Source organism: Homo sapiens, chromosome 18 (genome assembly GCF_000001405.40).
Source record: "Homo sapiens chromosome 18, GRCh38.p14 Primary Assembly".
Classification (NCBI taxonomy): Eukaryota; Metazoa; Chordata; class Mammalia; order Primates; family Hominidae; genus Homo; species Homo sapiens.
Genome location: NC_000018.10, coordinates 24291103 through 24317401, shown reverse-complemented (window position 1 = coordinate 24317401; position 26299 = coordinate 24291103). Strand labels below are relative to the sequence as shown.

The 26299-nt window shown below is 38.3% G+C and overlaps 1 protein-coding gene across 3 annotated transcripts in view, besides 2 other annotated features; it reads left to right on the top strand.

The window, feature by feature from the left end:
* Positions 1–26299, top strand: part of OSBPL1A (oxysterol binding protein like 1A) — a 235780-nt gene that overhangs the window by 80423 nt on the left and 129058 nt on the right. For 2 of the 3 annotated variants that reach the window (XM_017025530.2, NM_080597.4), the window contains exons 10-14: positions 2–75; positions 190–253; positions 3055–3153; positions 5296–5418; positions 13684–13765. In XM_017025530.2, coding sequence (XP_016881019.1) covers positions 2–75; positions 190–253; positions 3055–3153; positions 5296–5418; positions 13684–13765 — 442 coding nt within the window. Of the gene's footprint in view, position 1; positions 76–189; positions 254–3054; positions 3154–5295; positions 5419–5895; positions 5949–13683; positions 13766–26299 lie in introns of those variants that run through there. The other variant, NM_001242508.1, reaches the window with a different exon arrangement.
* Positions 1931–2131: a silencer, noted in NCBI's record as "peak3073 fragment used in MPRA reporter construct". NCBI's record gives its function as "represses an SCP1 promoter by STARR-seq MPRAs in K562 erythroleukemia cells {active_cell/tissue: K562}" and the evidence as "EXISTENCE:reporter gene assay evidence [ECO:0000049][PMID:32103011]".
* Positions 16339–16512: a silencer, noted in NCBI's record as "fragment chr18:21880854-21881027 (GRCh37/hg19 assembly coordinates)". NCBI's record gives its function as "represses an EF-1alpha promoter that drives an FKBP-Casp9 reporter gene in an ReSE screen in K562 erythroleukemia cells {active_cell/tissue: K562}" and the evidence as "EXISTENCE:reporter gene assay evidence [ECO:0000049][PMID:32094911]".

Below are 26299 nucleotides of genomic sequence, written 5' to 3'. Positions count from 1 at the left end.
GAGTTCAAGATTTTTTGGCTGGAGATTATTCTGGGTAGTGTTAGAGCATGGAGTCCTTTCATGGTATAGGAAACAGTAAGTATTATGATCTTTACACTTATCAAATTTCACTGTATAAATTTTGAAATACGAATTTTTTTCACTTGTCTCTTTTCCTTTTGTCTTGATAATTTCATTTTTATTTTGAAGGCCTGATGCAGTTCATAATATTTATCGCCAGGGATGCAAACACCTGACTCAAGCAGTATGCACGGTAGGATGAAACATGGATCATTTGCTCCTCTAACTGTGAAATCAGTTCTTCAAGTGATTGACCCAAATCATTTATACAGCCTTGTAAAATCTTGGGGTTCTGTGGAATGCTGTAGAAAACACTTGTATATATTTTAATTTGATAACAAGTAAAGTCGTGGCATCTCCATTTTGAACAAAATTTTAAAATATAGTTAACTTTTATTTATCTCCATGTATTATTATGGAATGAGAGATGGATTGTCCAAAAATATTTGTCAAATTTACCCAGGCTTATTTGATGATGAAATATCCTAGTACATGCAATTGAAAAGAATGTGTATTTTGCTATTATTGTTGGTTGTTTTGCTATTGTTGTTGGTTGTAGGGACCTATCAATATTAATTCAGTCATGGTGGTTGATAGCATTCAGATCTTTTGTGTCTTGGTTTTGGCTAGTGGTTGTATCAGTTGCTGAAAGAGGAATGTGAAAGTGTCCTACTGTGCTTGTGGAATGTTGCATTTCCTTCTCTGTTATTGATAACATACTTATGATTGTTGTCTTCTTGATTAATTGATCCTTTTATTGTTTTGTGGCCCTCTTTATCTCTTGTAATACATTTTGTTTTAAAATTTATTTTGTCTGATATGAACATAACCACTTTGGCCTTCTTATGTTTACTGTTCGCATGGTGTCTTTTTCCTATCCATTTGCTTTTAGCCTATATGTATCTTTATATTTATTTTCTGTCTCTTGGAGATAGCGTATGTTTTAGTTCCTATTACCCATTCTGGCAATTTTTGCCTTTTAATTGGATTTTTCTTTTGTGAATGTGTTCTACTTTCATGCTTCTTCATATGTCAGGTAATTGTGGGTTTGGTTTTGTTTTGTTCTTGTTTCTGTTTTTTTGAGATGGAATCTCGCTCTGTCTCCCAGGCTGGAGGGCAGTGGCACGATCTCAGCTTACTGCAACCTCCACCTCCCAGGTTCAAGCAGTTCTCTGCCTCAGCCTCCTGAGTAGCTGGGATTATAGGTGAACACTGCCATGCCCGGCTAATTTTTGTGTTTTTTGGTAAAGACGGGGTTTTGCCATGTTGGTTAGGCTGGTCTCGAACTCCTGACCTCAAGCAATCCTCCTGCCTTGGCCTACCAAAGTGCTGGGATTATAGGCATGAGACACCGCACCCAGCCCGTATGTCAGGTAATTTTGGATGGTACTCTTAATATTATTAATATTATTATTATATAATTATAATATTATATAATATATAATATCTTTAATATATTTTATTATATAATATATACTATATATTATATATTTTATTATATAATATATACTATATATTATATATTTTATTATATAATATATACTATATATTATATTATATTTTTTATTATATAATATATACTATATATTATATTATATATTTTATTATATAATATATTACATATATTATATATTTTATTATATAGTATATAATATACTTTATTATATATTATATATTATATTATAATTTTATATTTTACTATATAATATATATAATTAATTATATTATGATTATAATATATAATAATATTAATATGATTATAATATATAATAATCATAATATTATTAATATTATGAATGTTGAGTTCTGGAGATTTTGGATTCTGTTGTTTTTCTCTGTTAAGTGTTGTCCATTGCAGCAAGTCCTTTTCTTGGTTCGGTTTGGATTATGAGCTATGTGTCTTGGGCAGTGGCTCTGGACTCAGTTCAGATAGGTTGTGTTTATATGAGCTGCTTCTATGTGTGTGTGGCTCATGAGTCAGAGATGTGAGTAGCAGACAGAATCTGGGGACCATCTCTCTGTCTCTTTCCCTTGGGGGATTCCCCTGTTCTCCTTGGTGCTTATGGGTTCCCAGGTTTGCTTTATTAATGTCCAAAGACAGGAGTTGCCACATGTGCCCTTGCTGCTGTCCTGTCACCATGTGGACTGTGCTTAGTCCCAGGTGCAAAACCTTAGGCATGGGAACTTACTTCCACAGCTCCTTGGCCCCTTTCCTCCAGAGAGCGTGACTCCCATCGGAGTCTGTCAGCTTTTGTTCAGGTCCAGGTTCCTCCATGTGGTTGCCTTTTCTTTCGTATCCGGGTTTTATAGTTGTTTTCTGCAACAGGTGGGGGGCCTCTGATAGGGTCTTGAAGAAATCTACCTTTTCCCATTCTTAACCCATTTATGCCTGGTGTTCCATTATTGGAACGCTAAGCTTGTGGGAGTTATTTATATCCTACTGCTCAAGGTCATCGCCAAGGTCTGATTTTTCACAAAACATTTTGCAACCTCTGGCATAAATGGCTTAAAATCCTTTTCATGCCAAATTTTTATTTTAAAACCCATAATTATTTCTGATCCGTCTTACTCTCTTTCCCTTTTCTCCTTCTTTATCAACATTATCTACTGCTGATTATTTTATACTCAGCTCAAACAAAAAGGTAAGGCGACGGGTATGAATAAAAAATGGGAACTGTGGTAGCTAAACGATTTTATAACCCAAGTGCATGTTAAGTTATACTTAAGAAAAGATAAAAATAAAACGACAAACCTGATGAACCATAGTATTTATGTTGAGTAACTAAGAAGTTGAGAGCCAGACTCAACATAGTTCTACAGTGCATTTGATACTCCCACTGTAATCTATTTTTTTCCAATTTTTATCTGTCAATACTTAAGTGTTCAACTGGGTATCGTTAAGTCATGTCACTACTTTAAATTTTATGTATAGATAATTTTAGGGTCCTCTTTTATGTGAATGAATGTTGTCTTACTGACTTCTTTATATCCAAGGTAAAATCCACTGATAGCTGCCTCTTCTTTATTAAATGCTTTGATGACACCATTCATGGCTTCCGGGTTCCTAAGAATAGCCTTCAGCAGTCAAGAGAGGTAATCTTATGGATTCATGTATCTTTCCTAAAACTTACAGAACATTTAAAGACACGGAGAATATAACATAGGTTCAGTGGTAACATCCAACATCTTGTTGATTGTACTTTTAATTTTTTTAAATTTTTATTTATTTATGTTTTTGAGACAGAGTCTCACTCTGTAGCCCAAGCTGGAGTGCAGTGGCGCGATCTCAGCTCACTGCAACCTCTGCCTCCCAGGCTCAGGCGATTCTCATGCCTCGGCCTCCTGAGTAGCTGGGACTACAGGCACGTGCCAATACGCCTGGCTAATTTTTTTTTGTATTTTAGCAGAGACAAGGTTTCACCACATTGCCCAGGGTAGTCTCAAACTCCTGAGCTCAGGCGATCTGCCCGCCTTGGCCTCCCAAAGTGCTGGGATTACAGGCATGAGCCACTGTGCCTGGCCTGATTGTACTTTTTAAATGAAGCCTTTAAAATTTGGTACATGAATTAGTTCTTTATCAACATGTACCTGCAGGTATTTTCTGTTCATAATTTGTTTTTCAATTTTAATTCTCTGAATGTAAGGGGCATCCTTTTAATGTAAATGACAGGTCTACGCCTTAACTTATAGGTGAGGAAACTAAAGATTGTAAGATTGAAGTGATTTCCCAAGGCCAGGCAGCTTGTGAGTGACAGAACCTGGACTACAAGCCAGGCGTTCTGACACTCATTACAATGGAGACTCAGCCTTCCTAGTGATAAATTAAACAACAGCAGCAAGCTAGAAAATTGGGATTTACTTGACCAATACTTATGGTGCAGTCACTTAATGGACTATCCCTATTCTTTTTTTTTTTTTTTCCGCCCAGGCTTGAGTGCAGTGGTGGGATCTAGGCTCATTGCAACCTCTGCCTCCCTGGGTCAAGTGATTCTCCTGCCTCCACCTCCTGAGTAGCTGGGATTACAGGTGCATGCCACCATGCCTGGCTAATTTTTGTGTTTTTAGTAGAGACAGGGTTTCACCACGTTCGTCAGGCTGGTCTCGAAATCCTGACCTTGTGATCCGCCCACCTCAGCCTCCCAAAGTGTTGGGATTACAGGCATGAGCCACCGCGCCCGGCCCTTTTCTTTTTCTTTTATTTATTTATTTATTTAGAGATAGAGCCTCCCTTGCTCTGTCACCCAAGCTGGAGTGCACTGGTGTGATCTTGGCTCACTGCAACCTCTGCCTTTCTGGTTCAAGCAATTCTCCTGCCTCAGCCTCCCGAGTAGCTGGGATTACAGGCATGTACCACCATGCCTGGCTAATTTTTGTATTTTTAGTAGAGATGGGGTTTCACCATGTTGGCCAGGCTGGTCTCGAACATGATCCGCCCACCTTGCCCTCCCAGAGTGCTGGGATTACAGGCATGAGCCACCGCGGCAGGCCTATTCTTATTCTTTTAAATCAAAGCAGTGTTCATAGACATATCTTGATTTTTTGGTAAACTATGTAAGAGGTTAAAATAATCTATTTTCCAAAGTGGTAAACTTTGGCCATGCAAAGAACCCTAAACAATCTAACTCATGACTCTCCCAACATTTCATAAAATGGTAAGATTTGACCCTGAGTATAGTGTAAGAAAATGAGGAAAAAGTAAGATAGGGTATTTTTAGGCCAAACATTCTTTTTGTGAAATCACTGTTATTTAAAAAATATAGTAAAAGTTAATGCATCAGGGCAAGTATTGGCTGTTTTAATATGACCTTAGTTTCTTGTGCTTCTAATTTGAGTGTAAGTTAGTAAAATTGTGTGTCTGGATCCATTACTATATAGTAACTTATTCTGTTAGGTTATAAAATTACAGGTTCTCAATATTGAAAACGAGAACCTATAATTTTAAGTGACAAAGTTTTCTCCCATTATTTAATTTCTGTAATGTGTTTGAATATTAACATTCATGAATATGTAAACTTATAGATGATATTTTTTAAAGTACTAGGAAAAGCTTTTATCCAGACATATCATGGACAAGAGACCCACATTGCTGTTTCATTACTGGTTGCTTTGCTTTCCCTTTTGAGGCCATAATATTTATTTCACTAGGTAAATTTTATGCTTATCAGATCATTGTAATATTATCTCTTTGGAATAAAAATGCTTTTCACTCTCATTTAAATTCTTGCATGATTTCAGGACTGGCTGGAAGCAATAGAAGAACATTCTGCTTACAGCACTCACTACTGTTCCCAGGACCAGCTGACTGATGAGGAGGAGGAAGATACGGTTTCTGCTGCAGACCTGAAGAAATCATTAGAGGTAAATAGGAAAATGTAACCTGACCTTTATAGCTATCTATGTCATGAGGTTTAATCAAGAACTTTTTTCTTTAAGATGTAAGGTTTTGAAATTATGATTTCTGACAACAATAGAAATAGTACTGTTCTTCACTGAGTTGCATTGTGTTGGTAGCTTATGTCTCTCATGGTAATACTATCAAATGCATTTGTAGATATGCTCTGATGAGATGGACATGTGCCTTAAAGGCACTGTACTTTTTTAGCTGAAACTTTTTACGTTGCTGTTAACAGACCGTCATTTTGTTTGAAAGTTGCTGCGAGGATGGGGAGCATGCATAGCTTGACTTGATGCCCTTTATGACTTCACTGCACATTTCAGAGTTTAAATAATGCAACCATAGTGATACCTTTCCTGGTTGGTAGGTTTCCTTTAAAACCACTTGTAATCTGTAGCTTGGTTGCTAAGAGATAAGGTAAAGCATCATTAATGAATGGAGAAGTCTTCTGAAGTGACACCAGTGCCTTATCCCTAGAGGAATATCAGCATAGGTAATTGAAATGAAATAGGTGTTTTGAGGGGTCATCAATTTTCTGGCTGTACCTTTTATTTCCATCTTGTGTCTAAAAGAATGGGAATTGAGTTCGGAAGAATTAGAACTATGGAATGATGATGAGTTTCAGTCTGAATAATTACGTCAGGATATATGAATTTGCCTACTAAATTTAATTTTTGTCTTTATAAATTAAATGAGTTGGCGGCAAGATTTGAATGTTTCTAGTTCAACTTTAATGAAGTTAAATTCCCCAATACCTATGGAGTTTTATCAACTTAGGGACCTTTACATTAAAATATAAAAGGTATTTTGACTCTTTCAATCCCTAATCTTAATTTATGATGGAACATTAAAGAATTTGAACTCTCCCATGTTTGTTGAAGACATTCCCCAGAATTGATGACAACTCCTTTACCATACTACCTCTGGTTTAAAGCCTAATGTGTATGTGAGAACCATAAACAAAATTTTCAGATCAGTGAACTTTGCAAAGGTAACATCTACTACAGCATTTAAGTAACATTAAAACTGGGAAAATATGGAAGATTTAAATACATATGGCCAAAATTACATTAAACAAGTAAAAAAATAAAACGATGCTAAATATTTTAACTTTCAGTTGGTATTCCCTAATTGAAAAGAAATCCTTCCCTATTTACCTATCGTCAATAAGAGGTAAATGATAAAACCTGGAAGGATTGACAAAGCATACTAATATCTTTCCTAGGATTATGATAATTTTAAAAGTTTTTAAATGGAAGTTACAGGTAAAATAAAAGCATACTAACTTACATACCATTAAAAATATTTCTTCTTTTTTTTTTTCTTTTCTTTTTTTTTTTTTTTTGAGACGGAGTCTTGCTCTGTCGCCCAGGCTGGAGTTCAGTGGCGCGATCTCGGCTCACTGCAAGTTCCACCTCCAGGGTTCACGCCATTCCCCTGCCTCAGCCTGCCGAGTAGCTGGGACTACAGGCGCCTGCCACCGCACCTGGCTAATTTTTTTTTTTTTTTTTTTTGTATTTTTAGTAGAGACAGGGTTTCACCGTGTTAGCCAGGATGATCTTGATCTCCTGACCTTGTGATCCACCCGCCTCGTCCCCGCAAAGTGCTGGGATTACAGACGTGAGCCACAACATCCCGGCAAGATTTCTTCTTTAGCATAATTTTCAAATTTTCAGGTCATCAACCTCGACTATATCTTTCAGTTTATTCCTTAATGTTTTGTTCACATGTTAACTTTAAAACCATGAAGCTTTTGCCTTTTAGATTTTATTGCACCTAGAGTTAATGAGAGTTTTAGCACTATAGTGTTAAGCACTTTTACGTTTTGCATGTTCCTCTCCAACAGAGTTTGAATGCTAATTCTGTAAATCTTTTTTTTTTTTTTCTTTTTTTTTTTTTTGAGACAGAGTCTTGCTCTGTTGCACGGGCTGGAGTGCAGTGATGCGATCATGGCTCCCTGCAACTTCCGCCTCCCGGGTTCAAGCGATCTTCTCGCCTCAGCCTCCTGAGTAGCTGGGATTACAGGCACACAACACCATGCCCAGCTAATTTTTGTAATTTTAGTAGAGACGGGGTTTCACCATGTAGGCCAGGCTGGTCTCAAGCTCCTGACCTCAAGTGATCCTCCCGCTTCCGCCTCCCAAAGTGCTCGGATTACAGGCATGAGCCACCATGCCTGGCCAATGCTGTGAATCTTGATTCTGTCTCAACATCTGGAGACTGGTTCAAAATAGGTAAAATCCAAAATGAGCTTTGAAGTGTGTTGAATCATAGCTTGTCAGTAGACTGGCTCCAGGATGCCCTTCATTCTTGAGTTTTTAAGTTCCAGTGAAATTCAGGGGCCAATTTATGGAAAGGTCTATTCTTGATACCTATAGACATTCTAAGGGGAATTAGTCATTCTAGGACTGATATACTCTAAAATCATCTGAATTAACAACAAAACTGATTTTATTTCCTTAACATGCTTTTGGATTAGTACACAGACCTATAAGAAATGAGGGAAAGGCTGAGGTGGAAGGATCACTTGTGCCCAAGGGTTTGAGTTCAGCCTGGGCAATATAGTGAGTCCCTGTCTCTTAGAAGGAAAGAGAGAGAGAGAGTGAGTTAGTTTTTCAGTATAAACATTTTTTGGTAAACATTGTCTTATACAATATAATTCTATAAAACAAGTCCTAGAATTAATTATTGACCTCATGGTTGTTGCTGTAATAGCAACTTGAAAATATTTCAGAAATAAAAATTAGAAATTAATCAAGCATGGTATTGGTATAGAACTGCGCTGTCCAATATGATAGCTATTAGCTTTCCTGTGGCTATTTACACATGTGGCTATTTACATTTAAATTAATTAAAATCTAAAAATTCAGTTATTCAGCTGGGCACGGTGGCTTACGCCTGTAATCCCAGCACTTTGGGAGGCTGAGGTGGGTGGATCACTTGAGGTCAGGAGTTTGAGAACAGCCTGGCCAACATGGTGAAACTTGGTCTCTGCTAAAAATACAAAAATTAGCCAGGCATGGTGGCGGGCGCCTGTAGTCCCAGCTACTCTGGAGGCTGAGGCAAGAGAATTGCTTGAACCCAGCGGGGCGGGGCGCACAGGTTGCAGTGAGGTGAGATTGTGCCACTGCACTCCAGTCTGGGCGAAAGAGTGAGACGACTCAAAAAAAAAAATTCAGTTGTTCATTTTAACTATATTTAACTACATATTAGCCACATTTCAAGTGCTCAGTAGCCACATGTGGCTACCACAACGGACAGCGAAGATATAGAATATTTCCAGCATCATAGAAAGTTCTATTGGACAGTGCTGGGATAGGCTCTTAGAGGCTCTGGGTGGTACTAGCAAAGTGGGGGTTTTATTTGTTGAAGATGTCTTGATTCTGTAGGATCTGAACTGTTTTTGTGTTACAAGAAGTGATGAGCAGGCCAGGCATGGTGTCTCACGCCTGTAATCCCAGTACTTTGGGAGGCTGAGGTGGGTGGATTGCTTGAGCCCAGGAGTTCCAGACTATCCTGGGCAACATGGCGAATCCCCATCTTAAAAACAAATTTTTTTTTTTTTTTTAATTTTGAGGCTGAGGCTGCAGCAAGCTGTGGTCACACCACTGCACTCCAGTCTGGGCAACATGGCAAAACCCTGTCTCTACTAAAAATACAAAAATTAGCTGGACGTGGTGGCCCATATCTGTAGTCCCAGCTACTTAGGAGGCTGAGGTGGGAGGATCACCTGAGCCCAGGAGGTGGAGGTTGCAGTGAGCCAAGATCACGCCACTGCACTCCAGCCTGGGCGACAGAGTGAGACCCTGTCTCAAAAAAAAAAAAAAAAGTAATGAGCAGATGATGCTCGAGTTTAATGGAATGAGAAAATAAGATAAAGCTTTTCTGATTTAAGAATAAATGATTCCCGAGGCGGGCAGATCACATGAGGCCAGGAGTTCGAGACAAGCCTAGCCAACATGGTGAAATCCTGCCTCAAAAATACAAAAATTAGAAAGGCATGGTGGTGCACGTCTGTAATCCCAACTACACAGGAGCCTGAGGCACGAGAATCACTTGAACCTGCGAGGCGGAGGCTGCAGTGAGCTGAGATCGCACCACTGCACTCCAGCCTGGGCAATAGGGTGATAGAGCCAGCCTCTCTCAAAAACAACAACAAAAAAAGAATAACTGATTCCCAACTAAAATAAATGTGCAGAAAGTTGCATGTACATCCACGTGGAGCTAATAAAGATTGGTACATCCATGCAAGAATGAGGCAGATGTATATATGCTGATATATTTAAGATATACAGTTAAGTGAAAAGGACAAGGCATAAAATGATGTACCAAATATGATACTACTTGGGAGGAAAAAAAACAGGGATGTACACATATATATTTGTGTAGACTTAGATCATTCAGGAAAGATGAGAAATTAGCACTTGTTGCTCTGCAGCTGAGAAAGCTGCAAAATAAGATTGTCAAGTGTGTGAAGGAGAATTACTTTTCTCTCTATATCCTTTTGTTTTTTATTTTTACTTTATGTAAATACATATTGCAAAGTGAAACCCTAAGAAAGTTACAAAGCAGGGGCATAATAATCGCCAGATGTCAGAAAGAATAAATGTGCTTTTGGGTTGACTTAGGAAAGATGGAGTATGGGTTATTATTTTTTTCTTTTTGAGACAGGGTCTCACTTTGTCATCCAGGCTGGAGTGCAGTGGTGTGATCACAGCTCACTGCAGCATTGACCACCTGGGGTCAAGTGATCCTCCTGCCTCAGCTTCTTAAGTAGCTGAGACTATAGGCATGTGCCACCAAGCCTGGGTAATTTTTTCATTGTTTTGTTTTTGTTTTTGTTTTTTTTTTTTTGTAGAGATTAGGTCTCATTATGTTGCAAGGAAGGTCTCGAAATGCTGGGCTCAAATGATTCTTTTGCCTCAGCCTCCCAAAGTGCTGGGATTACATGCATGAGCCACCGAGCCTGGCCAGAGTATGGGGCTATCTTTGAAGTGGATTTGGCTGGAGTTAGGAAGACTTAGAGATAAGTGCTACGGCACCACTGCTTGTAATAGCGGCCATTTTCTGCAAAGAAGAAAGTGATCAGAGTTTGACAATCTATTATTTTTAAAGTTTGAATTAATATTGAAATATAATGTTTGCAGAAAAAAGGAATTCACTTTATGTCTTCAATTTGATGTATTCTGACAAATGTGTATTGTCTGTGTAACCACCACTCCTATCAAGATAGAGAACATTTTTATTATGTCAAAATGTTGTTCCCTTGCTGCTCTTCCCAGATAATACCCTCCACTTCCATCTCTGGCAACCACTGACCTAATGACACTGATATAATGACAATGTCATTATAAGCATGATCAGTTTTCCTGTTGTAGAATTTCATGTAAATGGAATCATACAGTATGTGCTCTTAGGTGTCTTTTTTCACCGTAATGTTGTGTGTATTAGTAGTTTATTCATTTTTATTGCTGAGTAGGTGGCAATCTGCTTCTGTGCTTAATTAACCAAATGTGGATTTTCTGCAGCAAATAGCCTGGAATTAATTACTTCTCTACTAGCCTATGCATTCCTCTCTAGCTATTCACCCCCTTGATATGCATTTTCGAGCTGCCCTGTAGGTTAGGGATCATAAGGTAATTTAACATCAGCTTAACTCATACAAAACCAACAGCTAAAATTTTGGTTTCTAAGCAGGAGACCTGTGTTGTAAATGTGGCTCAGCTGCTCACCTGGGGTAACTTCTGATCCTCTAGGCCCCTGTATCAATGGGTTTAATCCTTGTTCTTGTGTGCTTTGTCCAGATAACTTGGGCAAAGTTAAAATACTGTTAAACTTTAGGTATTATAACATTGCTCATAGTGAGATTCCATTTATGTAGAATAAATAAATAGAAATTAAAACTTAAAAAGAGTCCCTGTATTAGTTCGTTCTCATGCTGCTAATAAAGACATACCCCAGACTGGGTAATTTATAAAGGAAAGAGGTTTAATTGATTCACAGTTCCACATGGCTGGAGAGGCCTCACAATCTTGGTGGAAGGTGAAGGAGGAGCAAAGGCATGTCTTACATGGCAGCAGGCAAGAGAGCTTTTGCAGGGGAACTCCCCTTTATAAAACCATCAGATCCTATGCGGCTTGTTCACTATCATGAGAACAGCACAGGAAAAGCCCACCCCCATGATTCAATTACCTCCCACCGGGTTCCTCCCACAAAACATGGGGATTATTGGAGCTATAATTCAAGGTGAGATTTGGGTGAGGACACAGCCAAATCATATCAGTTCCTGACATAATATCAATGGCATAGAAGTCAAAAATGAGAAACCATGTTGGACTCTGCAAAATATTAATAAGAATTAACTTTCATAAATTGATTTTTAGTTTTTCAAAATATAACTAGTAGCGACTAAGCAAATGGGAGACCATATTATGTTTTATTATATTAATAACCTCTTCTTTTTAGTATCTTTTAGTATCAGTTAAAAAGCACTAAGTTGTTTAGAACAGAAGACATACTTTGTACACAACTTAAAACAGTATGTGTAGATTGGATCTTCTCCAGCTGACCTGTTATGTACCCTTTAAAACAAGTAAATCGTCGATCAAGGAAACTTATTAATAACTGTTAGATGGAAATATGATTCAAGGGAAGATAAATGTGATTCATGTATTTGAAGATGATGCTATAGAAGGTGTTTCCTGCCTTTAATTATAACTTAGGAAAACTATCCTGTTTATTACAGATTCATAGTCTGCAATTGAAGCCATTGCTTACTTTTATGCCTCTAGCTTACTTTCATCATAGGAAGGATAAAACAGTATCATTGACTTGCACATAAGCAGAGTATTAAATATGTATAGAGCAAGAATGATGATTTTCTATTCATCATGAGTGATGCATTTGGTTGCAGTGCATGTTTTGGTGCCTCTAGATAAACTTTTTCCCTGCCCCTCAACCTGTATTCACAGGCTGTGTCTGGAAAAATTATCAGGCATATATGGTGTTTTAAATTGCATAGTGTAGGTATTCTCCCCCTGCTCTCCACCAAGTGAATGGTACGTAGGTGTTGTTAGAGCCCTCAAAACAAAGGAGAGTAATACAAATTTTGAAGAGAATATTGCCTGTCACTAATGTGATAACATGAATAATTCTACTGTGGTTGAGTTGAACTTTGTAAGCACTAAAAAATTTATAAGGTGAAATAGGAGAAAAGAGTATTTACCTATGCCACCTTGACATACTGATCTATAGTAAGTTTGATTTTGGGGGTGCAAAATGTTTTGTGATGGGCTAGCTGAGATTAGGAGTACAAAGTAGGGAAGTTTCATAAGGCTAAATATATTACTCTACCTAAAAGAATGTGATTCGATTGTTTATAAGGTCAAGATTCTCAGAATAAATATTTTCTATTTTGATAACCAAGCAAATTTACAATAATAATTTTCTTGCTTATTCTTCCCACCTCTTTAAAGGGAAATGATATATAAAACTGCCTTCAAAATGACATTTTTAATGTAATAAATGGATTTGACTGATCTTTCATTTTGGATTTCTAAATCTGCACTAAGATGGGATGTAACTTTCATCAAGAAATTCTATATTTATGTTTTTTTGCCTTTAGGGATCTAAAAATGTAGAACTTTCAAATTACAAGGAAGAATGCTTTCTATAATTGACTTTACCTTATTTTCAGAAGCTTTGACACACTAAGAAAATGTCCTTTTTGGTTTGATGATGTGGGGGCTGTATGCACTTAGATTGCTGAACGAGAATCAGCTTGTGGTTTCCAAATGTTAGGACCATCTGGATTTTTTTTTCTGAACAAAACAGTTTTTAAAATATATTTTTAAGGAATGCATTTTATAATTTCTTGATGAATTTCATGAGGCCTACTAAAAGTGCTAATAAATCAGAGAATTATAATTCCTCAGATACACATGGCATAATGAGATAGTAATAGTAATGGATGCAATTGTATGGTATCTACACAACAGATGTTGAATGTATTTAAACCTTTAAAATATTTATTTTTACTTTACACTTGATTAAATGTTATATTCAGTTTACAAGGAAATTTTCTCTCACCTTTTTCTTTTCTTTAAGGCATATGTCTCTGTTATGGTATATCAATCTATGTACTGAAAGTTTTGATAGAAACACTAAAGCATAAGTAATGTAAAATCTTTTATTACTTTGTTTTAATTTTGTCTTTTCTTTTTTTGCAGAAAGCACAGTCATGCCAACAGCGACTAGATAGGGAAATTTCCAACTTTCTCAAAATGATTAAGGAGTGTGACATGGCTAAAGGTAAAAAGACAAGCACTATCCCTACAATCACTCTTTAACACATAGATACTGACCTGTTGTAGTTTTGTTTGACTTCATTTTTAAACAGTTTTTGGTTTTGAATTAAGAGTTATATTTGATAAAACTATTTTGAAACTTTAAAAGGGCAATTTAAAGTTTCTACTCACAGAGGATGCTTGCTTTAGAGATTAATAATGTTTTTATCCTTTTAAAAAAAGAAAGATAAGTTTAAAGTTAATGTTTTTGGCCTGTAAATTAATTTTGGCTGCGGAATGAGAATTCTGCTTATGAATCCCAGAAGACTTGGGTTTTGGAGTCAGAATGTCTAAAGCTTGAGGCCTGGCGCAGTGGCTCATGCCTGTAATCCCAGTACTTTGTGAGGCCAAGGCATGTGGATCACTTGAGGTCAGGAGTTCGAGACTGGCCTTGCCAACATGGTGAAACCCTGTCTCTACTAAAAGTACAAAAATCAGCCGGGTGTGGTGGCACGTGCTTGTAATCCCAGCTACTCGGGAGGCTGAGGCAGGAGAATCGCTTGAACCTAGGAGACAGAGGTTGCAGTGAGCTGAGAATATGCCGGTGCACCCTAGCCTGGGCGACAGAGCAAGACTCTGTCTCTCTCTCACACACACAGACACACCCACACACACACACACACAAAGAATGTCTTAGGCTTGAATCCTTACTCTTCCACTTACCGGCTGTTACTTCGAACAACACTTTTAACTCTTGCGAGCTTCAGTGCCCTCATCCATAAAATAAAGAAGTTGGTTGTTTTAGGCCTTGGCCTTTTATGCTTCTATAAATGTATATATGATCTTGTCTAGCTAATTATTAATCTTCCTTTCAGTAATAACTTTTTATGTCTTCATTCTCTATTATGAGTTCTCAAGAGTTGACTATAAATAGCCTACAAGGCTGGGCGCTGTGGCTCACACCTGTAATCCTGGCACTTTGGGAGGCCGAGGCGGTGGATCACCTGAGGTCAGGAGTTCAAGACCAGCACGGTCAACATGGTGAAACCCCGTTTCTACTAAAGATACAAAAATTAGCTGGGCGTGGTGGCACGTGCCTGTAACCATCTACTCAAGAGGCTGAGGCAGGAGAGTTGCTTGAACCCGGAAGGCGGATATTGCAGTGACCCAAGATCGCGCCACTGCACTCCAGCCTGGGCAACAGAGGGAGACTCTGTCTCAAAAAAAAGAAAAATAAATAGCCTACAAATCAAACTTAAGTATTGAGAAAAAGGTGCCTATTCCTGTGTAAATTAAAAAATTATGTTTCTTAAACTCTTAACAGATGCTTAGACTTTAGCCATGATGCATATATAAATGACTTCACCAAAGTATAAATGATGTAGTTATTTGTGAGTTTATGATTAACTTTTTTTTTTTTTTTTTCTTGAGATGGAGTCTTGTTCTGCCTCCCAGGCTGGAGTGCAGTGGCGCGATCTTGGCTCACTGCAAGCTCCGCCTCCCGTGTTCATGCCATTCTCCTGCCTCAGCCTCCAGAGTAGCTGGGGACTACAAGTGCCCGCTACCATGCCCGGCTAATTTTTTTATTTTTATTTTTAGTAGAGACGGGGTTTCACCGTGTTAGCCAGGATGCTCTCGATCTCCTGACCTTGTGATCCACCCGCGTTGGCCTCTCAAAGTGCTGGGATTACAGGCGTGAGCCACCACGCCCGGCCATGATTAACTATTTTAATCACATGTTAGTTTCCTTTAGTCAACTCCAAGATTCAGTTTCTATATTTCCAGAGAATGTGAGGAAATGTTAATATTAGAGTAAATGGACCATAAGTATTCTGTATCTGTCCAAGTGTACCTATGGCATCTCTTTACTTCAGTTGAACAAACATATATTTTTATCAGCAGTTATAGCCTTGGGAAGGGCAGTGGTTAGGTTATTTTGATTATTAGTTGCAGGCTGGAGTATTATATTACTTAGCACTGTTCATTCTCAATAGACTTTAAGATAATAACGGTGTCATATTTGGTATAATTCACATAACAAAATTCACACATGTGAAGTGTACAATTCAGTGGTTTTACTCTATTCACAGAGTTATGCAACTATGACTGTCATTGAGCTTTTAAAACACGTCAAGAACTACCAAAAAGTAGGGAGATTTAAAAGATGTAGAAACATTTTAAAGATGTAGAAAAGCACATTTAAAAGATGTAGAAAAAGTCCAGTGATACGAAATATGAAGATTAATTCATTTAACCTGGACCACATCGATAAATTATATCAGAATTACAACCAAATTAAGTTTTAAAAAGAATCTTGAGTCAAATCTCTTGTTTCAGATTGCCTGTATGACATGTCATTCGTAATGATGGTATGTATATCTGTATTAGCAATGATTGAGCAGATAATTAATCCAACTTGGAGAAACTGAGAAGAAATCAACATTGTTTAGAGATATGCGTAATATTGATACTACAAAAGAGATAATTATGGACATTTTCTGAAAAATCAGTACAGATAAACTGCATTTTACATAAGTAATAATAGGGTTAAGATGATTTGATGAATGGAATTGGAGAGTTGAATGTAATTGAGCCTGCCCTTACTGTCAAGGGTTTGTACAGGATAGTCTTTTACCTGCCATGTGCTTTATTAAAGAAAACTGATATTAGCCAGGCGTGGTGGTACACACCTATAGTCCCGGGAGGGTGAGGCTGAGGTGAGAGGCTGACGTGGTAGGATGGCTTGAGCCCATGAGGCAGAGGTTGCAGTGAGTCAAGGTCATGTGATTGCACTGCAGCCTGGGTGGCAGAGCCAGACCCTGTATTGAGAGAGAGAGAGAGAGACAGACTGATAGATAGGTATTCTGCTCCAGACTTCTTACATAGTCTGCCAGTGACTTAAGATAAAAAACAAAAATGTTTGTAGACAGAATCCAGAGCTTATAGTTGTAATTGTTAGTTGACTTACATTTTAGTACAAAATTGCATTAACTTTAAGACCCAGATCACTTCCTTCTTATTCCAATTTCTGCCATACTTGTTGAGTTCTATATCCCCTCAAATCCAGATCACTGCAGCAGCCTGCCCTTTAGTCCCTGTCTCCTGGGACTCTCCCTGCATTCCATCCTTGAGGGTAGTTGAATCAGAAGCCTTTAAGGAACTCTTCTAACTCAGATTCTGTAAAGTACTGCATTATTGCTGCCAGATTAATTTTTTGTAAAGGTACTTTTTGGATCATAATTTTTTACATTGAAAATCTTTTATAAATCCTTGCAACTAGAGAATAAAATGCAGACTTATCTGGGCATTTAAAGATTTTCATAGTCTGGCCACAGCCTAATTTCCCAGCGTTATTTTCAGTTATTCTCTCCCATGACTCCTAGAAACACCCTTGACCAAACGTTGTGTCTTTGATCGGAAATGCTGTCTATTGAAATATACCTTTTATTTTCTTGAGTGGACCTTAAACCTAATTTTTGTCTGAATGAATATCAGAGTTTCTGTATATAGTGTTGAGAACACATAATTCAAGGTTCAAGAATGTAGTATTGAAATTTTTACTATTTTATCTTTATCAAAAGCCTGGTTGCAAAAACAAAATCACCTAAAGTAATGAAACTTTTGGAAGACTTCCTGAAGGCCATGTTATCAATCCATTCTTCCATACATCCTTAAATGTACCATTGTGTATCCAATTTTTGTCTAGTATAAATATATTGTGCATTTATATTTGATCACAGTAACTCAGGATTCTTAGGATGGGATTAGTGGGTGAAAATGTATGAATATTTTTGAGACTGTTGATACATATAGTTAAATTGCCGAAAAAGATATGTTATTTTACATGCCAACTTTTAATACATATACTATATTGCATGTTACTAAATGTGTATAGTGAATACTTGGTTAAATAAATTAGAAGGACTTCACTTATCTAAAATAAAAAATCCTTTATAAGTTACCTGATGCTCTTGTCTGACAGCTCTTAGAATTCTTTCCTTCATGTTGACTTTAGATAGCCTGATGATTAACAGTAGACTTCTTAGCAGAAACCTTATAAGCTGGAAGGGATTGGGGTCCTGTCTTTAACCTCCTTAGACAGAATAACTGTCAGTCAAACTTTTTTTTGTATCCAGAAAACTTTTTTTTTGTATCCAGAAAAACTAAGTTTGATAAATGAAGGAGAAATGAAGTCATTTTCAGACAAATAAACTCTACGTGAATTTGCTACTACCAAACCAGCACTACAAGAAATGCCAAAAGGAGTTCTAAATTGTGAAACAAAAGCTCAATATGTACCAAAATAGAACTGGTTGGAAGCATAAAACTCACAGGGCCTATAAAACAATAACACAATGAAAAAAAACAAAGTATCTAGGTATCGACTAACATGATGAATACAACAGTACCTCACATCTCAATATTAACATTGAACATAAATGTCCTAAGTGCTCTACTTAAAAGATACAAAATGGCAGCCAACAGATAAAAAAATCACAAACCAAATGTCTTCTGTCTTCAAGAGACTTGCCTAACACATAAGGATTCATATAAACTCAAGGTAAAGGGGTGGAAAAAGATATTCCATGCAAATGAAAGCCAAAAGCAGGCAGGAGTAGCTATTTTTACATCAGACAGACTTTAAAGCAATAACAGTTTAAAAAAGATAAAAAAGGTCATTACATAATGGTAAAAGGATCAATCCAAGAAGAAGATATTACAATCCTAAACTTTACATCCACCTAACACTGGAGCTCCCAGATTTATAAAACAATTACTACTAGACCTAAGAAATGAGATAGACAGCAACATGGTAATAGTGCGAACTTCAGTATTCCTCCACTGACAGCACTAGGCAGATCAAGACAGAAAGTCAACAAAGAAACAATGGCCTTAAACTACACTGTGGAACAATGGACTGAACAGATATTTAAAGAACATTCTGTTACAGGAAAGGGGTCCCAATCCAGACCCTAAGAGAGGGTTCTTGGATCTCATGCAAGAAAGATTTCAGGGCGGCCAGGCGCGGTGGCTCATGCCTGTAATCCCAGCACTTTGGGAGGCCGAGGTGGGTGGAACACGAGGTCCGGAGATCGAGACCATCCTGGCTAACACGGTGAAACCCCGTCTCTACTAAAAAGACAAAAAATTAGCCGGGCGTGGTGGCACACGCCTATAGTCCCAGCTACTGGGGGGCTGAGGCAGGAGAATCGCTTGAACCCGGGGGGTAGAGGTTGCAGTGAGCCAAGATCGCACCACTGCACTCCAGCCTGGGTGACAGAGCAAGAAAGAACTCAGGGCAAGTCCACAGTGCAAAATGAAAACAAGTTTATTAAGAAAGTAAAGGAATAAAAGAACAGCTACTCCATAGACAGAGCAGCCCTGAGGGCTGCTGGTTGCCCATTTTTATGGTTATTTCTTCATGATATGCTAAACAAGGGGTGGATTATTCATGCCTCCCCTTTTTAGACCATATAGGGTAACTTCCTAATGTTGCCATGATATGTGTAAACTGTCATGGCACTGTTGGGAGTGTAGCAGTGAGGATGACCAGAGGTCACTCTAGTCACCAGTTTGGTTTTGGTGGGTTTTGGCCGGCTCCTTTACTGCAACCTGTTTTATCAGCAAGGTCTTTATGACCTGTATTTTGTGCTGACCTCCTATCTTATCCTGTGATTTAGAATGCCTTAACCATCTGGGAATGCAGCCCAGTAGGTTTCAGCCTCATTTTACCCAGCTCCTGTTTAAGATGGAGTTGCTCTGGTTCACACATCTCTGACAACTCTACCCAACAACTGCAGAATATACATTCTTCTCATTAGCACGTGGAACTTCTCCAAGATAGAACACATGATAGGCTGTAAAATAAGTCTCAATAAATTTAAGAAAATTGAAGTAATATCAAATATCTTCTCAGACCACAGGGGAATAAAACTAGAAATCAACTCCAAAAGGAATGCTCAGAACTATACAATTACATGGAAATTAAATAATATGTTTATGAATGATTTTTGAGTTAACAAATCAAGATGGAAATTAAAAACTTCTTTGAAATGAATGATAGTAGTGACACAAGTTATCAAAACCTCTGGGATAGAGCAAAAGCAGTGCTAAGAGGAAAGTTCGTAGCGTTTAATGCCTGCATTAAAAAGTCGGAAAGAGCACAAATTGACAAGCTAGTGTCACAAAAAATACAAAAGATAAATGAAACAAAAAACTGGTTCTTTGAAAACATAAACAAAATTGATAGACCATTAGTGAGATTACTGAAGAAAAGATGAGAGAAGATCCAAATAAGCTTAATTCGAAATTAAACAGGAGACATTACAACCAAAACCATAGAAATACAAAAGATCATTTGAAACTATTATGAAAACCTTTACATGCACAAACTAAAAAATTAAGAGGAAATAGATAAATTCTTGGAAACACAATCCTCCCAGATTAAGCCAGGAAAAAACAGAAACCCTGAGCAGACCAGTAATAAGCAGTTAGATTGAATCAGTAATTTAAAAATTGCCAACAAAAAAAGCCCATGACCAGATGTATTCACAGCTGAATTCTACTGGAATTCAAAGAATTGGTAACAATCCTACTGAAACTATTCCAAAAGAAAGAGAAAGAAGGAATCCTCCCTAAATCATTTTATGAAGCCAGTATCACCCTAATACCAAAACCAGAGAAGGACACAACGAACAAGGAAAACTACAGACCAATATCCCTGATGAACATAGGTGCAAAAATCCTCAAAAAAATACTAGCTAATTGAATCCAACAGCATATCAGAAAGATAATACACCATGATCAGGTGGGTTTTGTTCCAGGGATGCAGGGATGCTTTAATATATGCAAGTCAATAAATATGATATATCACAAACAATTAAAAGTAAAAACCATGTGATCATCTCAGTAGATGCAGAAAAAGCATTTGATAAAATCCAGCATCCCTTTATGTTAAAAACTCTTAATAAACTAGGCATAGAAGGGACTTACCTCAAAATAATAAAAGCCATATATGACAAACCCATAGCCAACATCATACTGAATAGGGAAAAATTGAAAGCATTCCCTCTAAGAACTGAAATAAGAAAAGGATGCCCACTTTTACCACTTCCTATTCAACGTAGTACTGGAAGTCCTAGCCAGAGCAGTCAGTTAAGAGAAAGAAATAAAGGGCATCTATGTGGAAAAGAGGAAGTCAAACTAGTGTTGTTTGCCAGTGATATGATCACGCACCTAGAAAATCCTAAAGACTCATCCAAAAGACTCCTAGATCTCATAAACAAATTCAATAAAGTCTCAGGTTACAAAATCAATGTATACAAATCAGTAGCACAGCTGTACAGCAACAGCGACCAAGCTGAGAATCAAATCAAGAAGTCAATCCCTTTTACAACAGTTGCAAAAAAATAAAATATGTAGGAATGTGCTTAGCCAAGGAGGTGAAAGCTCTCTACAAGGAAAACTACAAAACACTGCTGAAAGAAATCATAGATGACACAAATAAATGGAAACATATCTCATGCTCATGGATGGGAAGAATCAATATTGTGAAAATGACCATACTGCCCAAAGCAATTTACAGATGCAATGCAATTCCCATCAAAATACCATCACAATTTTTCACAGAACTAGAAAAAAAATCTTAAAACTCATATGGAATCCCATAAGAACCTGAATAGCCAAAGTAATACTAAGAAAAAAGAACAAATCTGGAGGTATCACATTATTGGACTTTAAATTATACTGCAGAGCTCTAGTTACCAAAAACATCATGGTTACTGTTATGGAGAAAAAAAAAAAGGCTCTTAGACCAGTGAAACAGAATAGAGAACCCAGAAATAAAACCAAATATTATACAGCCAACTGATCTTTGACAAAGCATACAAAAACATAAATTGGGGAAAGGACGGCCTATTCAATTTATATATTTGAAAAAAACATAAATTGGGGAAAGGACAGCCTATTCAGTTTATATAGCTTTTCCCCAAAATAGGCTATCCTTTCCCCAGTCTATGTGCTGGGATAATTGGCAAGCCACATGTATAAGAATGAAACTGGATCCCCATCTCTGCCTTATATAAAAATCAACTCAAGATGGATCAAAGACTTAATTCTAAGACCAGAAAGCCTAACAATTCTAGAAGATAATATTGGAAAAACTCTTCTGGACATTGGCCTAGGCAAAAATTCATGACTAAGACCCCAACAGCAAGTACAACAAAAATAAATAAATGGAACCTAATTAAACTAAAAAGCTTCTGCACAGAAAAAGAAATAATCAGCAGAATAAATAGACAACCAGAGAATGGGAGAAAATATGCAAACTATGCATCCAACAAAGGACTAGTATCTGAAATCTGCAAGGCACTCAAACAAATCAGCAAGAAAAATACAAATAATCCCATCAAAAAGTGGGCAAAAGACATGAATAGATGTTTCTCAAAAGAAGATATACAGTTGACCAACAAACATATAAAAAAATGCTCAACAGCACTAATCATCATGGAAATGGAAATCCAAACCACAAGGAGATACCATCTTACTCCTACAAGAATGGCCATAATGAAAAAGTCAGAAAACAATAGATGTTGGTGTGGATGTGGTGAAAAGGGAACACTTTCACACTGCTGGTGGGAATGTAAATTAGTACAACCTCTATGGAGAACAGTATGGAGATTCCCTAAAGAACTAAAAGTAGATCTACTATTTGATCCAACAGTCCCACTACTGGTATCTACCCAAAGGAAAAGAAGTCATTATATGAAAAAGACACATGCACATCCATGTTCACAGCAGCACAATTCACAATTGCAAAAGATGTGGGACCAACCTAAGTGCCCATCAACCAATGAATGGATAAATAACGTGGTATTTATACAACATGGAATACTACTCAGCCACAAAAAGGAATGAAATAATGTCTTCTGCAGCAACTTGGATGGAGCTGGAGGCCATTATTCTAAGTGAATGGAATACTTAGAAACTCAGGAATGGAAAAACCAAAAACCATTTGTTCTCATTTATAAGTGGGAGCTAAGCTTTGAGGATGCAGAGACTTAGAGTGATATGGTCTTTATGGACTGGGAAGGAAAGAGTCTGGGGGAGAAATTAAAATCTACATATTGGACCGGGCACAGTGGCTCACGCCTGTAATCCCAGCACTTTGGGAGGCTGAGTCGGGCGGATCACCTGAGGTCAGGAGTTCGAGACCAGCCTGGCCAACATGGTGAAACCTCGTCTCTACTAAAAAAATACAAAAATTAGCTGGGCCTGGTGGCGGGTACCTGTAATCCCCGCTACTCAGGAGGCTGAGACAGAAGAATCGCTTGAACCCAGGAGGAGGAGGTTGCAGTGAGCCGAGATCGCGCCACTGCACTCCAGCCTGGGCAACAGAGCAAGACTCCATCTCAATAACAACACCACCACCAAAAAAAAAAACAACCACATATTGGATGTAGTGTACACTGCTCAGGTGATGGGTGCACTAAAATCTTAGACTTCTTCACTAAGGAACTTATGCATGTAACCAAACACCACCTATTCCCCCAAAACTATTGAAATATAAAAGCAAAATAGTCGAACTCAAGAAAATAAAACTGAAAAAAAAAATCTGAGAGGAAAAGCACTTCTATTTAGCCTACTTAAAACTGTTTCCTCAAAATCTGGGCTTTGAGTAAACAAACTTACCACTTTCTCTGTTGCCACCTGGTCCAAGCCACCATTGCCTCCCACGTGGACATCTGAAAACCTACTTGCTGTCCCCAGATTTCACCCTTCCCCCTACAGCTTCTGCCCCAAATCCTCCCAAAATGTCAGTGGATTGAGGTCCTTTGCTGGAAACATCCAGTGGCTTCCAGATCTTCTCACTTGGAGTGAGAGACAGAGTCATTCTAATGACCTGCAGAGCCTTCCAGCCCCTTCCACCCCTCAGCCCCCCACCTCCCAGTTCCCTTTCTGGCTCCTCTCCAGCCTCATTGGCCTGGCCTACGCCTGCCAGTGGCCTTTCGTGTGCTGTTCCCTCTTCTGGAAGGCTTTTCTCCTGAGTGGCGTAGTCACTCCCTTCCTTCCCTAGGTCTTTCTTCAAAAGGTGCCTGCACACAGAGGATTTTCCTGGCCTCCTGCGCTGGTTTGCTCCTCCTCGTCTGCTCTGCCCTGCTTTGTGTACTGCAGCCTCAGCCCTGGGGCTTCTTGGCCCTCGGACTTGTGATTGGATTCAGCAAATGGGAGGCTCTGTCGGGAGACCTGCGGAGGGACGGGAGAGGAAGTCGTTTCAGGGCTTTACCTTCATTCTCTCCAGCCGGACTGTGGTTCCGCAGTGCTGCCGGGTTCCTCTGCCTGGCCACTGGCCTGATCTAGACTCCAGCTCTTGCTGGGCTTAGCAATACTGTCCTCTCCCCTTTCCCCCTCTGTGCCAGGATGGTAACTGTGTCCCGCACGCCAGTCTCTGTTACTTCAACCCTCCTCACCTTTGTGAGCAATCTCTTTTTCAAATTCTTCTCAGTTAACGTTTTAATTTTTTCTTTTCTTTTCTTTTTTTTTTTTTTTTTTTTTTTTGAGACGGGAGTCCCTCTCTGTCGCCTGGGCTAGAGGCAGTGGTGCGATCTTGGCTCACTGCAACCTCCGCCCCCAGGTTCAAGCGATACTCCTGCCTCAGCCTCCTGAGTAGCTGGGACCACAGGCGCGAGCCACCACACCCGGCTAATTTTTATATTTTTAGTAGAGACGGAGTTTCTCCCTTTTGGGCAGGCTGGCCTTGAACTCCTGACCTCAAGTGATCCACCCACTTCAGCCTCCCAAAGTGCTGGGATTACAGGCGTGAGCCACTGTGCCCAGACCTCAGTTACCTTTGAGCAGGCCAGCTCTTCCCTGCTGAGACCCTTAGCTGGTACCTCATCCTCTGTGAAGTTCACCTCCCCTCAGCACTTGTTACCCCTCTACCTTACTGCAGTTTCTCTTTTGTTACTTATCAGACTTCCTATGAGTGTGTGTAGTTGATTGTCTGCCTTTCCCACCGTGGTATAAACTTCAGGGCAGGGATTTTTACCTGTTTGCCGATTATCTTTGGTACCTCAACAGAACTTGGCATGTGATGGGGGTCTCTCTCTCCTCTCTCTCGCCGTCTCTCTTTCTCTCTGTGTGTGATGAATGAGTGAGTGAAATGAATGACCTACTTATCTAGCTTAAATTTATACCTTATATCTCTCAAACTCAGGGAGAAACAATAAATTTCTGTCAAGTTAGTAAATTTAACGAGTGTACAAGTCAAAGAGACCTTTTAGAGACATGAAATAGGGAAGAAACCATCAGAACTGTGGCATATTTTGCATTCTTTTGCCAAGAGGGTTTCCACAGTTAATGCCACTGATTTTTATATCCTACTCCTCTCCCCTGAATTCTGTTTTATTTTCTGAGGCAAATCTTTGAGTAATTCTTTCATTGGGGGTCTGTGAGTAGAAGAATTTCTACCTTATCTAAATCTTTATTTCACCCTCACTGGGTTATAGTTATCTTCCACTAGCATTTTGAAGATGCAATTGCAATTTATTCTGACTTCTGATATTTTCTTTTTTCTTTTTGAGACAGAGTTTTGCTGTTGCTCAGGCTGGAGTACAGTGGCGCAATCTTGGCTCACTGCAACCTCTGCCTCCCAGGTTCAAGTGATTCTCCTGCCTCAGCCTCCTGAGTAGCTGGGATTACAGGTGCACCTGCCACCATGCCTGGCTAATTTTTTAAATTTTATTTTAATTTATTTTAATTTTTTATTTTTTAGTAGAGACAGGGTTTCACCACATTGGCCAGGCTGGTCTCGAACTCCTGACCTCAGGTGATCCACCTGCCTCAGTCTCCCAAAGTGCTGGAATTACAGGCAATCTCTCGTTTTTTTTTTTCCCTGTCCCCCAAGTCCCCTTTTGTTACTGCAAAGATTTTTCACTTTGTTTTTGGTATTCTGCAGTTTTATTCTGTCTCTGGGTTTGGATTTTGTTGTTCTATAGCTTGCTTGAAACTCTGTTCTTTAATTCAAGGACTCATTTATTATCTTTCTTTAAGTTAGAAAAGTTCTTAGCTATTATCTCTTCCAATTTTACTTCATCATTCTTTATATTCTCTCCTGCCAGAACTCTTAATAGACATATGTTGAGCCTTCTCGTTCTATCCTCCTACCTCATTTCTTATTCCATTTCTTTCTGTTGCATTCTGAGTACTTTTCTTAGTTCTATTTTCTAGCTTTAGTTTCTTTCTCAATTTAGTCAGTTTTTCTGCTTAATCTTTTGACTTTCTACTTTCTAATCTTAGTGACTGTATTTTATAATTCTAGAAATTTTAGTTGGTGGTTTTAAAAATTTGTTATTTTTCCCCATAGTGACATGTTCTTTTATATTACATGCATTTCTAATTTTATCTCTAATAACTTCAGACATATGAATTTAAAGCATTTTTTTCAGAATGTTTTTATACCTCAAGTTGTTGCACAGCTAAGTCTTTTGTTTCTTCTGCTGAATGTCCATCACAATGGATTGTAACTTTATGGACAGCTCATCTTCAGTAGAGCTTGTGG